The sequence below is a fragment of the Homo sapiens genome, chromosome 6 (assembly GCF_000001405.40).
Source record: "Homo sapiens chromosome 6, GRCh38.p14 Primary Assembly".
NCBI lineage: Eukaryota > Metazoa > Chordata > Mammalia > Primates > Hominidae > Homo > Homo sapiens.
This window is the reverse complement of record NC_000006.12, coordinates 142,046,770-142,064,256: the sequence shown is the minus strand read 5'-3', so window position 1 is coordinate 142,064,256 and position 17,487 is coordinate 142,046,770. Positions and strand designations below refer to the sequence as shown.

General features: G+C 36.1%; 1 annotated feature.

The window, feature by feature from the left end:
• Nucleotides 6,038-6,238: a silencer, noted in NCBI's record as "peak6171 fragment used in MPRA reporter construct". NCBI's record gives its function as "represses an SCP1 promoter by STARR-seq MPRAs in K562 erythroleukemia cells {active_cell/tissue: K562}" and the evidence as "EXISTENCE:reporter gene assay evidence [ECO:0000049][PMID:32103011]".

Below are 17,487 nucleotides of genomic sequence, written 5' to 3'. Positions count from 1 at the left end.
ATTATTTTAAACCTTAAATAATTAGATTTTATAAGTATGGGACTTGATGATAAATTTCTTTAAATCTTTGACAATATTTGGCAACACATGGATTGTAGGATTGTGTGAAACTGTGGAATTAATAATTGTACTTGATGTATTGGCATTGCTGTCTCCTCTTATTTTAAAGAAATAATATGTTTAATTCAAATAAAATTAGAAGCAATTCCAACAGGATTTTTTCCCCCTTTCTATCTCGGAATCACGTTTTCCTTTCCATCCCAAAATTTATAAAATGAATATTCTTGAATTTATTTTGGCGTTGTGCCTTTTAATGAGTGAATCCTCACTGATAAAATAGAAGTTATTGATTGCACTTATTCTATTTATTTAAATCACATGTATTTTGTACTTCTTAATTTAATAAATAAAAAATCAGTGCAGCATGAATAATTTTTTTCTTGTAATAAACATTAGTTTATAAGTATTAGTTTATAAAACTGCATTACAGGCGTAAAATCTGAGAAGCACCTACAAAAAATTGTATTTTTTTAAAACAAGAATGCAGGTGCCATTTATTTGGTCCGTAAGTATAGTCGTTATTTGAGTTTTACAAAACATCGAATATAAATAACCTGAAACTGTAACAATACACAAAAATTGGCTTATTACACAGACATACCAGGCAGTACAAACTGAAAACTTGAGTAAATTAACATTGTTTTACATTAATATACATAGTGCCATTTAACATTTAAAAACAAGTTTTAATGCATAGCACTCGATACTTCTTTGAATCTGTTTCAATCATCTAAGAGTATGAAAATGGTTAAATCTAGGCTAAAAATAATTATTCTTCTAGCCAAAAATAAAGGCATAATATTTATAACCAGGTATCAACTTTACTAAACCACAATATTTTGAAACTATTAATGATACCTAAGGGTATTTACATTAAAAAGGCAACATGCATTGTGTTGTTTTATCTCATGACTGGTTATGCACACACTTTGTTCAAAGGGTTTTTAAAACTATATTCCCACTTTCAATACAGCATACTGCAATGTGTCTAACAGTTCTAGCAAAATGAATGCTTTGAAAGGGAGCAGAATCATTTTCAAGTCACTGGTGTCAATTTTTTCTCTTTGCAACAAAGGACCTAACAATCTGGTTCTGCCCAGATAACCTAAATAGGAAGAGGGTTCTGTTTAGAGGCATTTCTGTTCAATCTAATGCTATGACATCATCAAGCTCTTCCTTCTGTTCTATACGTGACCTCTTTGCACTGAGATTCTCTTTCTCATCTAATTTCTTCTTGCGGCTTCTCTCTTCCTCACTGACGTCGGCATTATTTGAAGAATCTTCTTCATCCTAATCAACTATGAGAACATCATCTTGCTCTTGAGCTGTGGAGGTGGAGGGCTGAGCTCCATCATCACTGCCTTTGGTTATGCTTTTGGCAGCATCTTCAGCTTGTTTGGGCCCCACTTTTTCTGGGGCATCACCAACAACTTCAAATTCAACATCCTTTCCTAGGTCTTCACTATGAAGGATGTTGATAATTGTATTTGAATGTAAATTTTTATTTGTTTACAAACGGGAGAAAAGTCACATTTAGGAAACTTGAAATCTGTAAAGATTAGAGAGAAATGAAATAAATTGAAGATGCTCTTTTCAGACACAAATGTTTTGACTGAAAAAATCCTCGGTTTGATTTCAACTGCTTATTTTATGAAAACAGAAAATCTTGTCCTTTCAGCCTACTTTTTTGAGAGAGTTTTAATTCAATGTGTGAAGTCTACTCTGCTTTAACAGTTTAATTGATGTATCATGTTTTGTCGATTATAGGAATTACTTGCATGATTTTATGTTGATGTAACTGTCTTCTGAAATGATTAAACTATTGTTAGATAAGGTGTTTCTTGGAGCGTAATTTTTAAAAACTGTATTATAGGATTTAATATATATTAGTATAATCACTCTCAAGCTATTCTAATAGAAAGGCTGCAAAAGTGGTGACAAATGTGTCTTAACTCAAGTTTCATGATGTAATTATTGCTTGGCAAAGTAAAAGATGGGTCTGGAATCTTGAAGCAAAAATTGCTGCACTTGATTGATCTTTAAAGACAATATTTCATTCCTTTTTGCAAACATACTTTATGGTAGGATAGCATTCTTGTTCTCTAGAGACTTAAAAACAATAGTATTTTGACGGAGTGTCAAAACACTTGCATAGAAAACAAAATATTCACGTATCATCTGTTTCTTAATATTTGGTGTTCATATGAAACCACTATATGGTTAGTTGAAACTTTCATCTTATCTGAATATTTTCTTGTTGATACAGGTTAAAATCTCCTATTAGATCCTAGTGGCTAGGTTAAATACAAATAAATTATTTTATTAGTACAGGTTTTATATTCTTTTCTTAATTGAGTCAGTTACCTGAAAGTATATGAAATCAATATTTTTCTTAGTGTCTCTGTCACTTGCTAATAATCATTAAAGAAAAATAAAGAATATATTTTTAAAAATATAAATAATTAAGATTTCTGCACTGAGCTCCTAGGAATAATAATAACCACTGCAAATAATAATCAGTGAAGCTTTTGTAGATCTGCTAATTAGATATAGAAGGTAAGAGACAAAAACAAGAACAGGTATAGCAAAGGAATTGCCTCTATATATACAATTCCTTGTGAAAAGGCAGAAATTGGCTTTTTTAAGCAAAAAAAAATCATAGAGTAAAAAATCAGAAATGTAACTAATGAGAGCTTATTTTATTGGGTGTTTTTCTTTATCAGGGAAGTATATGCAAAATGTTATATATGATAGCTTTTACATATTTCAAAGAGCATTCTCTTTTTTTAATATAGACTGTTAGCTGTGTTTGATGCATTCTTTTATGAAGGTTGTAGAGAACTCTAGAAACCGTTCTTTATCATTGCAGTCAATAAGTTGTTTCATAAAATGGCTCAAAACTTATGAAACAAATAAACGTGACATTGTTTACTGTTTTTATTTGTAGTGAAGACTTTGAAGAGGAACGTAAGACTTAAGTAGAATTAACCAACTAGAGATGAGTTGTGTTTGGGTCTCTCAAAATCAGTGTATAAACTAAGGGAGTCCAATGGAAGTGCACTCACCATCAGTCATTATCAAGACAACAGAGATAGGAGTGAACTCTTTTTCATAGTGTTGGTATGTTTAGGATCAACTAATGAATCATTTGAAGTCTCAAAGCTATGCTGAAATACGTTCTAGTGTCCTGAGCTGAACAGTCCAACTCTTTTGGAGTAAGGAAAGGAGGATTTCCACTAAAGGGTAAGAAAATAGAAGAGAAAAAAGGGTTGCAGTTGTTGAGTTATTGTAACACTCATTTTCAAATTATAGCTCAGAGTCTGATTTGCCCAAGAGGCAATGGGCAAGGGTGTTGGCTGGAGGCTTGAAGAGGGCACAGCTATGGTTTAGACCCGCAAATTCCTCTGTCTACTGGGACATCTGCTCTGAATATTTCAGTCATCTCAAAGTTAATGTGTCTGCAGCTAACTCATTGTTCTCAAACTTGATCCTTTCTTCTGTATTTTAGTAAATGTCATGACTTCTACCCTTTACTGAAGGAACACAAACTCAGTTCAAAAGTGTCATTTTTAGTTCCTCATTTTCTGCCTCTCCACATCTAATTTATCAGCAAGTCCTGTTGATTGACTCTACTTCCAAAGTATGCATATCCTGAGATTTTCACTATCTCCTCATTGCCATGGTTGTCACACACAAGTGACCATTTTTTTTTTTTTGGCCTAGATCAATGCAACAACATTTTAACTAATCTCCCTGCTTTCACCCAGTCCCAAATTAAATCCACATTCCACACTGCAAACAGAAATCATGATAAGCCTAAATTAGAGCATGTCACATCTTTGCTTCTCAATACACTTAGAATAAAGTGAAAACTGTTTGCTTAGTCTACACATTTTGATCCCTGACTCTCTTTTCAAATTCATTTCCTACTTAGCTCACTGGACTGCAGTCTCACCAGCACTCTTTTATATTCCTTAAGCACATAAAAAGGTTCCCACTTCAATGCCTTTACACTTGTGTCTTGTGCCTGTAGCTCTGTTTTCTCAGATATTCACATGGCTAACTTTTGCGGAAAAGGCTATCCATGATCAATTTATAGTAGCACTCTCAGATCAGTTGTAAAATATATACGTGTATTTTATTGAGACAAGGTCTAATTCTGTTACCCAGGCTGGAGTGCAGTGGCATGATCTTGACTCAGTGCAGCCTTGACCACCCCAGTCTCAGGTGATCCTCGCACCTCAGCTTCCTGAGTACCTGGGACTACAGGTGCATGCCATCACTCTTGGCTAATTTTTGTGATTTTTGTGGAGACAGGGTTTTGCCATATTGCCCAGGCTGGACTCAAACTACTGGGCTCAAGTTATCTATCCACTTTGGCTTCCCAAAATGCTAGGATTACAGGTGTGAGCCACTGTGCCCAACCAGATTATTTCATCACAGTATTTTGTCCTGATTTATGTACTTATAGCACTTATCTAGTCTCTTTACTTACTTGTATGGTCTTTCTCCTTCATCTTAAATATAAATCCTATAAGAGCAGGGTGTTGTCTGTGTATACTATATCCCCAAGGCTTACGTAGTTCCTGGAATGTAGTTTAATGTAGTTGGTGCTCACCAAGTAATTGTAAATAATATAAATAAAGTGTTGAATGGTACTGGGTTGGGAGATAAAGAGAGAACCTGAAAATAAAAGATGGAAACATTTTGTGGAATGTCTCAAGGTATTATTCTATGACCTTCTTTCTTACCTGATGTAAAACAGAAGCACTTCTTTTGAATAGAAATTAGATTTAATTGATCCAATTCTATGAAGTACTGAGTTTATCATTGTTTTATACTCTGCCTATATCCTCTTCAATGTTATACAGATATAAACATGGATTCCTCCAGGTCAGGAATCCACAGAATTTGACAGATTTGTTTTTTTGGCCTCTCAAAGCTTAAAGTTTCTTAGAATATATCATTTGGATGATATCTTTTAGGAGAAACAATAAGAGCATAAAGTGCAACTGGAATCTTTGTCCTGAAAGCCACATGAGAAGCTTGTGCCTTTAGATTTGCCTTATTCTTAAATACTTTGTGGTTTATAGTGAGAAGAAAGCTCACAGTTGCTCATCAGGAAGCAATTTTTTATGCCCCTGAAAATACTTTTTGTAGGTTAAAGCAGTCACTTTATGATGTGGGAACCATGCTTCTACTGTAGCTGGAAGGCAATTCACTGATTCCCATTATACCTGCATGAAGGTTTCCTTCCCTTTCTGTGGATTTATAACTAAAAAATGACTGTATTCTCTTCTGATAGTTTCGCAAAGTGAAAAAAAAAGGAAAAAAAGAGTTAGCATGCAATATAATCTTAGATAGTGTTAAGGTACTCACAAAATTGATAAATCTGCTTAGTAATATATAAAATTTATAAAAAACCTGTCATATATTTTCCAATTCAAATGTTTTATGGTTGAATATTGCTGACTGATTAGAATACATAGGCCAGAGACTTAGATCAGCTGTAGCGTTTGCTGTTGTGATTACTTAGCTATCCGATCTAGTTCTTGTATGAAAAACTAGGAAATTCTGAATGCTATAAGTTTCATACTTTGCACTATTTACCACTTTTTGTCACTGAAATGTGGTTCTCTTAGTCATTAGGATGCATATTACCTAAAAATGCTGGGGGATAATAAAGCGACAGCAGTGAGAACAGCTAAAATTATAATTCTTGCTTTTTAACAGATGGATACCAGATGTGTTCTTGATCTGGAGAGACTGTTTCATTAACTCACAGAAAATGAAGGTGAAGATAAACATGGCTGGTCTGTTATTCTTTTTTACTTTCTTATGTCAAGTAATAAAAAAGCAAAAATAAAGTTTCCCAGATGTAGACATTGGCAAAATACCAGTAAGGGGAGAAATAATCAACCTTGGGATAAATGTGAAATAGAACACATCAGGATAACTAGGAGCTGTCCTTTGCAAGTTTAACTTAGGTTCTCCTCTTCAGATCCCTAAATCTTGCATGGTAAAATGGCATTTAAATTGTAGCTTTGATGACCAATTTTGAGCCCAGTGGTTCCTTACAGATTCATTGCATTAGGTTTTCAACAACTGTAGTTTACTAGAATCATAATCTGTGTGAGGCTTTATCTAGCGTTAGGTGACACCTAAACCACTAGTAGGAGAACTGTGGTATCTCACCCTTAACGTCTCCATGAGAAACAACCATACAGCTTTCTTAGCAATATGCTGTAGTGTACAGCTTCAGTGTCCAGAACATTTTTCTTTTTTTTTTTTTTTTTTTTTTTGAGACAGAGTCTCGCTCTGTCGCCCAGGCTGGAGTGCAGTGGCGGGATCTCGGCTCACTGCAAGCTCCGCCTCCCGGGTTCACGCCATTCTCCTGCCTCAGCCTCCCAAGTAGCTGGGACTACAGGCGCCCGCCACTACGCCCGGCTAATTTTTTGTATTTTTAGTAGAGACGGAGTTTCACCATTTTAGCCGGGATGGTCTCGATCTCCTGACCTCGTGATCCGCCCGCCTCGGCCTCCCAAAGTGCTGGGATTACAGGCCAGAACATTTTTCTTGATAGCTCATCCTTCCTTTTCTTTTGTTGTGATCCATGTTAGAGATTAAGAACACTGTATTTTGGAACTCCAAGGTTAAATTTCTTAAGACAACATTTTTTACATTGTAATAGGAGACTCAAGTAATAAGGAAAGCATATACAAACCATACAATTTAAGCCTGTGAAATTCTTGAAAATCAATTATTACACTGCACAGTGGCCTACTATGACTACTTATATTTGATCATGTTGATTTTAATCTCAAAATCTCCAGATGATAAGAGGTCTGACTAGATGCAAAATCACTAGTTTCCTGGATTTCAAAATCTCTCTCTGCCTCAGGTTTAAAAAAGTCTTATAATGAGTTTCTTTGCCTGAACTTGTGCATAGAGTCTGTCTTCAACTATGTTCATTTGATTACTTTTCTAGGTTTTTTTTGGTGAAGTATTACAGCAACAGCTCTTAGATTTACACTTTCTATAAGAAACAGCATAAAAATCTCATTTTAACAAATATTATGGAACGAAAAGTCTACAATAGGTGCTCTATTAAAGTTTGAGTATACGGTGTAAAAAAATAGACTTGGTATAAGAATCTTTAGTTGTCAGTAACACACCCTGGCAAGCTGAAGCAGAAGGAAAATCTTGGGGAACAACATTAAGAATTTCTATATTAAATGGAAACTGGAGCACTAGGCAAGAAATATAGACAGAAGCAAATGTTAAATAGCTAAAGAGTCCAGTCTTCACAGACCTTATAAACAAGTGTGGGAGAGATACTATTACCGAAACAATTCCCAAAATATCATTTATAATTATAACATGAGACTGGTGCTTTTTTAAAAAAAATAGAGTGCTGAGAAAGAGTGACAATGTGGGTGTGGGGATGGGAAAAATGCCTTTGTTTAAATTGAGAGGAAGCATGAGAAGAAGACTTACAGTATGGCTGCTTTGAAAATTATTTTATTATCAATATTGCTTTATTCATCACTTGCACCTTAAGGAGATCTGACTGATTCCTAGGGAGTCAGAGATGGGGATGAGGGAACTGTAGTAGCTAGGAAAATGTTCCAGGTAGAAGAAGTAGTTCATGTAAAGTCTTGATGGCAAAAAACACTAGGATATATTTGATGGGCCAAAAGGAGGCCAGTGTGGCTGAGACAGTGGAAGAGGTGAAGGGTAAAATGAAATGAGGTTTGGGAGGTAAGAGTGGTCTGGTCATGATAGACTTTGGAATCTATTTGAGGTGAAGTTGGAAGTTTTGAAGAATTTTAACCAAGCCAATGGATTTTTATTATTTATACTTATTAAAGATTATTTTGACTGCAGTGTGGAGAATAGAGTAGAAAGAAATAGAGAAGTAAGGAACCTACTGCTATTTCACATGAAAATGATGTATCATTAATGTCTTTTATCTGCATGGGGGCTATGCAGGGAGAAGTGGCCAAATATAAGATATAAACGGGAGTATACATGCCAGGACTTGTTGATGGATTACATACTAGTGTTAATAGTTAACCTTCAGTTCTTGAATGGGGAACTTTTACTTATGTATGCAGTATTTATACATTATTCTAGATGTGTTTGACTACAAATGACAGAAATTTAATTAAAATGCAATTTGATAAAGAATTTACTCATAAATCATATTGTCTCATATGACTGGGAAATCTAAGGGTGGGTTAGGACTTTAGGAAAAGCTGTATCCAAGCCTATAGATGACTTCTGAACTTAGTATTAATTTCTTATCTCTGTTTCTTTTAAGAAAAATGTACTTCTATCCTTTTTTCAAGTGTCAGTTCACACAATCTCAGGCAGCCCTAGGTTAAAAACACCAGAGGAATGAGAGATATTTTCTCACCCAGACATGGTCTCTGAGAAGGGCTCTGATAAGTCCTTCTTGGGTGTCAATTATGCAATAGCGATTAAACATTATGTCTAAGGCTTGGTGCGTATACCTACCTCTAAGGGAGCAGCTGCTGTTGTCCTAACAGAGCTGTGGGGGAAAACTTATTGTGTATATTCAAACTAACTACCTAAGCCATGGAAATCCACTGCAACTATATAGAATAACCTGTGAGAAAGACAAAAATATTGCCTGACATCCAGGAGGTGCCCCTTAGCTAGACCTCAGTGTTCTTCTGTTGAACATAAACAATTTGGCAGAACATTAACATCAGAGAAGGCAGTGCTGTGACTGTGATGAATAGAGAGAAAACAATACCACGGTGTAGTCATATCTGAACACAAAGCATGCGCATTGTCTAAGCCACAGAAATTACTCCAAAGCCCTCTATCCGGGCTAAAATGAGTAGCTGCTTCTTCTTTACCAATTACAGTGTTTGTCTGGTTCTAGTTTATTTTTTTAATTAATTTTTTTGATTTTTAATTTTTGTGGGTACATAGTAGGTATATATATTTATGGGATACATGAGATGTTTTGATACAGGCATTCAGTGTGAAATGAGCACATCATGACAAAAAACCTAAATACACTCTTTTAAAAAATGTACAATTAAGTTATTATTGACTATAGTTACCATGTTGCACTATCAAATAGCAGGTCTTATTCATTCTAACTCTTTTTTGTATACATTAACCACCACCCCCCTCCCCCATCACACCCTGCTACCCTTCCCAGCCTCTGGTAACCATCCTTCTACTCTCTATGTCCATGAGTTCAATTGTTCTGATTTTTAGATCCCAGAAATAAGTGAGAACATGCAATGTTTGCTTTCAGTCCCTGGCTTATTTCATGTAACATAATGATGTCTAGTTCCAAACAAGTTGTTGCAAATGACAGGATCTCATTCTTTTCTTATGGCTGAATAGTACTTCATTGTGTATATGTACTATATTTTCTTTATCCATTCATCTGTTGATGGATATTTAGGTTGCTTCCAAATCTTAGCTATTGTAAAGAGTGCTGCAACAAACACAGGAGTGCACATATCTCTTCAATATACTGATGTGTTTATTTTTGGGTATATACCCAGCAGTAGGTTTGCTGGATCTTATGGTAGCTCTATTTTTAGTTTTTTGAGGAACCTCCAAACTGTTCTCCATAGTGGTTGTGCTAATTTACATTTCGTCAACAGTGTGTGAGGGGTCCTTTCTCTTCACATCCTTGCCAGCATCTGTTCATTTGGTATTACCTGTCTTTTGGATATAAGCCATTTTAACTGTCATGAAATGATATCTCACTGTAGTTTTAATTTACATTTCTCTGATAATCAATTATGTTGAGTACCTTTTCATATACCTATTTGCCATCTGTATGTCTTCTTTTGAGAAATGTCTATCTAAATCATTTGTGCATTTTTTGATCAGATTATTTGATTTTTTTTTCTTTTGGAGTTGTTTGAGTTCCTTATATATTTTGGTCATTAGTCTCTTGCCAGATGCGTAGTTTGAAATAAGCAAATATTTTCTCCCATTCTGTGGGTTGTCTCTTCACTTTGCTGATTGTTTCCTTTGCAGTGCTGAAGTTTTTTTAACTTGATGTGATCCCATTTGTCCGTTTTTGCTTTGGTTGCCTGTGCTTATGAGATATTACTCAAAAATGTTTTGCCCAGAACAATGTCCTAGAGATTTTCCCCAATGTTTTTGGATAGTAGTTTTATATACTGTGGCCTTAGACTTAAGTCTTTAATCCATTTTTATTTGACTTTTGTATATAGTGACAGATAGGGGTCTAGTTTCATTCATCTGCATTTGAATATCCAGTTTTCCCAGCATCATTTATTGAAGAGATGGTCTTTATCCCAATGTATGTTCTTGGCACTTTTGTTGAAAATGAGTTCACAGGTGTGTGAATTCATAGGTGTGCAGAAAATGAGTTCATAGGTGTGCAGATTTGTTTGTGGGTACTCTATTCTGTTCTCTTGGTCTATGTGTCTCTTTTTATGCCAATATCATACTGTTTTGGTTACTATAGCTCTATAGTATAATTTGAAGTCAGGTAATGTGATTCCTCAGTTTTGTGCTTTTTGCTCAAGATAGCTTTGGTTATTCTGGGTCTTTTGTGGGTAAATGTAAATTTTAGAATTGTTTTCTATTTCTGTGATTAATGTCATTGGTATTTAGATAGGGTTTGCTTTGAATCTGTAGATTGCTTTGGGGAGTGTGGACATTTTAACAGTATTGATTTTTCCAAACCATAAACATGGAATATTTTTCCATTTTTTGTTGTCCATTTCAATTTCTTTCATCAATGTTTTCAAATTTCCATTATAGAGGTTTTTCTCTTTTTTGGTTAAGTTAATTCCTAAGTATTCAGTTTCATGTATGACTACTGTAAATGAGGTTGCCTTGATTTCTTCTTCAGATTGCTTACTGTTGGCATATAAAAATGGTACTGATTTCTGTATGTTGATTTTGTATCCTGCAAATTTCCTAAATTTGTTTATCAGTTCTAACAGTCTTTAGATAGTCTTTAGGTTTTTCCAAATATAAGATCTTATCATAAGTAAACAAAGATAATTTTACTTCTTTCCTTCCCTTTGAAGTCCCTTTATTTCTTTCTCTTGTCTGGCTGCTCTAGCTAAGACTTCCAGTACTATGTTGAATAATAGTGGTGAAAGTGGGCATCCCTGTCATGTTCCAGATTTTAGAGGGAAGGCTTTCAGTTTTTCCCCATTCAATGTGACACTAGCTCTGGGTCTGTCATACATGGTTTTTATTATGTTCCTTCTATTCCCAGTTTTTTGAGGATTTTTATCATGAAGGGATGTTGAATTTCATTAACTGCTTTTTCAGCATCTATTGAAAGATCATATGGTTTTTACCCTTCATTTGGTTGATATGATGTATTACATTGATTGATTTGCATATATTGAACCATCCTTGCATCCTGGGAATAAATCCCACTTGGTCATGATGAATGATCTTTCCATTGTATTGTTGAATTTGATTGCTGGTATTTTTTGAGGATTTCTGCATCAATATTCATCAGAGATATTGGCTTATAGTTTTCTTATTTGATGTGCCTTTTTCTGGCTTTGGTATCAGAGTAATACTGGCCTCGTAGAACGAGTTTGGAAGTATTCCCTCCAGAATGTGTTGAGTAGTATTGGTATTAATTCTTCTTTAAATGTTTGGTAAAATTCAGCAGTAAAGCCATCATGATGGCTTTTCTTTACCGAGAAGCTTTGATCTTGTTACTTGTTATTGGTGTGTTCAGGTTTTGGATTTCTTCCTGGTTCAATCTTGGTAGATGGTATGTATCTAGACATTTCTCAATTGTTTCCATTATCAGTTGTTTCAAGAAAATTTTTAATTTCCTTTTTAATTTCTTCATTGACTGTCTAGTCATCAGAAGCATATTGTTTAATTTTCTTGTATTTGTATAGTTTCCAAAATTCCTCTTGTTATTAATTTCTGGTTTTATTCCATTGTGGTCAGAAAAGATATCTGATATTATTTGAATTTTTTGAATGTTTTAAGACTTGTTTTGTGACATAACATATGGTCTATCCTTGAGAATGATCCATGTGCTGAGGAAAAGACTATGTATTCTGCAGCTCTTGGATAAATATTCTGTAAATATCCATTAGATTTATTTGGTCTATAGTGCAGATTAAGTCTGATGTTTTTTCTTTTTTATTTTCTTTCTGGATGATCTGTCCAATGCTTAAAGTCTGTTGAAGTCTCTAGCTATTATTATATCAGGGCCTATCACTCTCTTTAGCTCTAATAATATTTCCTTTACTGATGCTCCAGTGTTGGGTGCATATGTATTGAAAATTGCTATATCCTCTTGTTGAATTGACCTCTTTATCATTATATAGTGACCATCATTGCCTCTTTTTATAGTTTTTGTATTGAGATCTATTTTGTCTGATATAAGTATAGTGACTCCTACTCTTTTTTGGTTTCCATTGGCATGAAATATGTTTTTCTATCCCTTTATTTTCAGTCTATCTGTGTCTTTATATGTGAAGTGTGTTTCTTGTAGGCAACAGATCAATGGGTCTTGTTTTTTTCATCTATTCAGCCACTCTATCTCTTTTGATTGGAGAGTTTATTCCATTTACATTTAATGTTACTATTGATAAGTAAGGACTTACTCCTGCCATTTTATTGTTTGTTTTCTGGTTGTTTTGTGGCCTTCTGTTCTTTCTTTTATTCCTGTCTGCCTCTAGTAAAGATGATTTTCTCTGATGATATAACTTAGTTTCTTGCTTTTTTTGTTTTTTGTGTATCCATTGTATGTTTATTGGTTTGAGGTTACCATGCGGCTTGCAAATACTATCTTGTGATCCATTATTTTAACCTGATAACAATTTAACACTATTTGCACAAATAAACCAAATGAAAACTAATAAAAACCCACCTCAACTTCATCTGTTTTTTAACTTTTTTGATGTTTTTGCTTATATATTATTGCACTGACTGCATCTTGAAAAGTTGTAGTTGTCATTTCTGATTGGTTCATCATTTAGTCTTTCTACTTAGGAAAAGGGTAGTTTACATACCACAGTTGCAGTGTTATAATATTCTGTTTTTCTGTGTACTTACTATTACCAGTAAGTTTTGTACTTTTAGGTGATTCTTTATTACTCATTAATGTCATTTTCTTTCTGATTGAAGTATTTCCTTTAGTATTTCCTGTTGGACAGGTCTGGTATTGATGAAATCCCTCAGTTTTTGCTTGTTTGGGAAAGTCTTTATTTCTCTTTCATGTTTGAGGGACATTTTTGCCAGACATACTATTTTAGGGTAAAAGTTGTTTTCCTTCAACCTTTAAATATGTCATGCCAATCTCCTGGCCTGTAAGGTTTCTACTAAAAAGTCTACTGTCAGATGTATTAGAGCTTCATTGTATGTTATTTGTTTCTTTTCTCTTGCTGCTTTTATAATCCTTTATTTATCCTTGACCTTTGGGAATTTGATTATTAAATGCCTTGAGGTAATCTCTTTGGGTTAAATCTGCTTGGTGTTCTATAACCTTCTAGTACTTGCAGATTAATATCTTTTTCTAGGTTTGGGAAGTTCTCAGTTATTATCCCTTTGAATAAACTCTCTACCCCTATCTCTTTCTCTACCTCCTCTTTAAGGCCAATAACTCTTAGATTTGCCCTGTGGATGCTATTTGGTAGATCCTGTGGGTGTGCTTCATTGTTTTTTTTTTCTCTTCTGTGTATATTGAAATAGCTTGTCTTCAAGCTCATCAATTCTCTCTTCTTCTTAATCCATTCTGCTATTAAAGGACTCTGACACATTCTTCAGCATGCCTATTGCATTTTTCAGCTCCAGAATTTCTGCTTGATTCTTTTTAATTATTTCAAACTGTTTTTCTTAAATGTATTATTCAATAGCATTCTGAATTCCTTCTCTGTGTTATCTTGAATTTCTTTGCATTTCCTCAACACAGCTATTTTGAATTCTCTGTCTGAAAGGGCACATAACTCTGTTTCTCCAAGATTGATCCCTGGTGACTTATTTAGTTCATTTGTTGAGGTCATGTCTTCCTTGATGGTGTTGATGCTAGTAGATGTTCTTTAGTGTCTGGGCATTGAAGAGTTAGGTATTTATTGTAGTATTCACTATCTGGGCTTATTTGTAGCTGTCCTTTATGGGAAGATCTTCCAAATATTTGAAAGCACTTGGGTATTATGATCTAAGTTTTTTCTGGTTTAGGTGGTACTGCAAACACAGTAACACTTTGGTTCTTGCAGACTCCTAGAGGTACCACCTTGATGGTCTTGGGCAAGATCCAGAAGAATTCTCTGAATTACCAGGCAGAGACTTTTGTTCTCATCTCTTATTTTCTCCCAAACATACAAAATATCTGTCTCTGTTCTGAGCCTCTAAAGGTGGAGGTTGAGTGACACATATACCCCTGTGACCACCACCACTACAACTGCACTGGGATAGACTGAAGCCAGAACACTGCTGCGTCTCACCCAATGCCTGCTGTAACCACTCCCTGGTTAATGCCCATGTTTACTCAAAGCCCTGGGCTCTACAATCAGCAGGTGGCAAAGCCAACCAGGTGTGTGTCCTTTCCTTCTGGGTGGCATGATTCCCTAGGCCCTGGGTGGGTTCAGAAGTGCCACTCGGGAGTCTGGTACTAGAGTTAAAAAACGTACAAGTGTACCTGGTATCGTATTATCTTGTGGCTGAGATGGTACTGAAACCACAAGATGCAGTCCTTCCCACTCTTCCCTCCCCTTTCAAATGCAGAGGAGACTTACCCAAGGCTGCTACCAGTCCTGGCCTTGAGAGTACTGCCAGACCACCACAAATGTTCTCTTAAGGACCAAGGTCTTTTAAGTCGGCTTGTTGTGAATGCTGCCTGGCCTGGGACTCATCCTTCAAGGCAGCTCCTCTCTCTGGCCCAGGGTAGTCCAGAAATGCCATCCAATGTCATGTTCTGGAATCAGGGACCCCAGGAGCCCACTTGGTGCTCTATACCCCAGTGTCATTGTTGGTACCTAAGGTGCAAGACTAATCTCCTTTACTTTCCCTCTGCTTTTCTCAAGCAGAAGGAGTTTTGCCCTGTAGCCGCCATAGCTGGCAATGTGCTGAGTGTCACCTAAAGCCAGCAAGTCTCAGAGGCTCACCTATGCCCTTGATGCAGTACCTGGGTATCACTGCTGGCATTCGGGGACCAAGGGCTCTTCAGTTAGCCGGTGATGAATGCTGGAAGGACTGGGTCCTTTCCTTTAAGGCAGTGGATTCCTTTCTGGCCCAGGGTGTGTCTAAAATGTCATCTGGGACCTACGGCCTGCAAAAGGGCCTTATGACTCTGACTCTTGCCCTATCCTGGTGTGGCTGAGCTGGTATCCAAAACAAAGTCCTCCTCACTCTTTCCTCTCCTCTCCTCAAGTGGAGGGAAGAGGTCTTTTCTGGAGTAATTAACTGTGCAGCCTGGGGCTAGGGGAGGGTTCATGCCAGCACTCCCTTAGCCTTCCCAGCTGGTGTCTCAGTACATTTCTTGCCTTCCCAGTTCACTGTCTCTGGGCTTAGCTCAGAGTTCCAGTCCATATAATCTAGACTACCTTTCAAGTTTACTTAGAGACCAAAAGCCTTTTTGCCCTGAGTGGTGACATTTGTGAGCACTCGAGTTCGGACCACTGGGATCGGCAATTCACGTTGGCTAGGACTGATTTAAATGCTCCCTCCGTGGGCTCGCATCAGCTGAGTTTGGTCTGATTTTCCTTTCTGCTCTGACAGAACAGCACGGAGTTCAGTGATTCATAATTCTTGCGTTCTCCCTCCCGCAGCACCCGGAGAGGCTCTCTGCATCATGCCACCACTGACGAGGGTGGGGGAGAGGTGGTGTTGGTGACTCAAGACTGTTTTTTTCTATCTCTTCAGTGCATGTTTTCAGTGATATGAAGTTAAAACCAGATACTATAAGTGTTCACCTGATTTTTGGTTCTTATAAAGGTGTTTTTTTCTGTGTAGATAATTGTTAACTTGGCGTCCTTGTAGAGGGAAGGGTGGAGCTTTTTATTCCACCATCTTGCTCCACCTCCCACTCTGGGTCCATCCAATCATACAATTACTTTTACTTTCTGACAGCATCTAATCCAGAGCCATCCTCCACTTTAAATCCTCATTTTTCAAGCCTCAGATGAATCATCTCTTCTGCCCAAGGTAAAAGAAACTTTCACATTTATATAACCAAGTTTATTTCCTTTATAAAACTTGTCTCAGTATCTAGGCTTTTTGTTTATTTATCTATTACCTTGTCTATGGTCTGTTTTCCTCTGCAATGTGAGTTCCGTGTGGGCACAAATCTGTTCTAGTATGTGCATAGCTCTATCACCAGTGCCTGATATGTGGACCGAGATTTAGTAGCTGCTCAAGTGTTTATAGAATTTGTGAATGAAAGGGTAAATAAAATAAATTAGGTAGCTGACTCGAATTAAACAGAGAGTTGTAATATTTTGATAAATGCATTAGAAATCTCAAGAAATATATAAATAATGAGAGGGCAAGGATTGAGTTTTCCCTGATGCTGAGTGATCAGAAGAGGCATGAAGAGCTGGTTGTATTTAAGTAGGGCCTTGAAGGATAGTTAGAATTTAATAAGTGGAGATATGGGAGATATATAATTGTTAAGCCTTGGGAATGGTGATGAGTCCGTTTTGGCTGGAGCATAGACTTCCCAAATGGAATTGAGGAAATAAGACTTAGAAGGCAAGTTGGTGGCAGAATGCATGCTTTGAAAGGGACACTAAGACAAGGTTCTGTGCTGCAAGTTAAGTACAATTGTTGACTTAATAAGAATTGTTTCTTTAGGTGACTACTATGAAAGTAGCATGTACAGTGGTTTGTAGAAGGAAGAAGTTGTGAGGAAAACAAGTTAGAGATTATTGCCTGGAACAATACAGATGATAGCTGGGAGAACCTGAACTAGGGTATTGGAGTGAGAACTGAAGAAGATGGTGAATGCAAAGGATAGTTTAGCAATAAATTGAACACACAGAGTATTCAATATGATATATAGAATTTTACTAGGTGCTTATTTTTTACTTTAATCATTGCTTGTCTATAAAATTTATGGCTGGTACAATTAACTCTTTTATTGAGAAAATCTGTGAGGTGGAAAATTACTTGAGCTGGAAAGAGAGCAAGGGCACTCTGACCAATTCTCAAATTTCAGAGAAAGAGAAACTTGAAATCAACAGAGTACAGAGAAATATAGTAACATAACCAATTGCAGAGAAATATCTTTAGACATGGAAGGTAAACAAACCAGATACACTTAACAATGGATCAGAGTTGGGGATTTATACTAGGACAGAATGTCACACTGATCATAAAGCCAAGATCAGTGGCTGATTATAATATTCCAGCTCTCCTCTTGTGGAGACAATAATCCGGGAAGAAGACTTTAAAGATCCATTTTGGTCT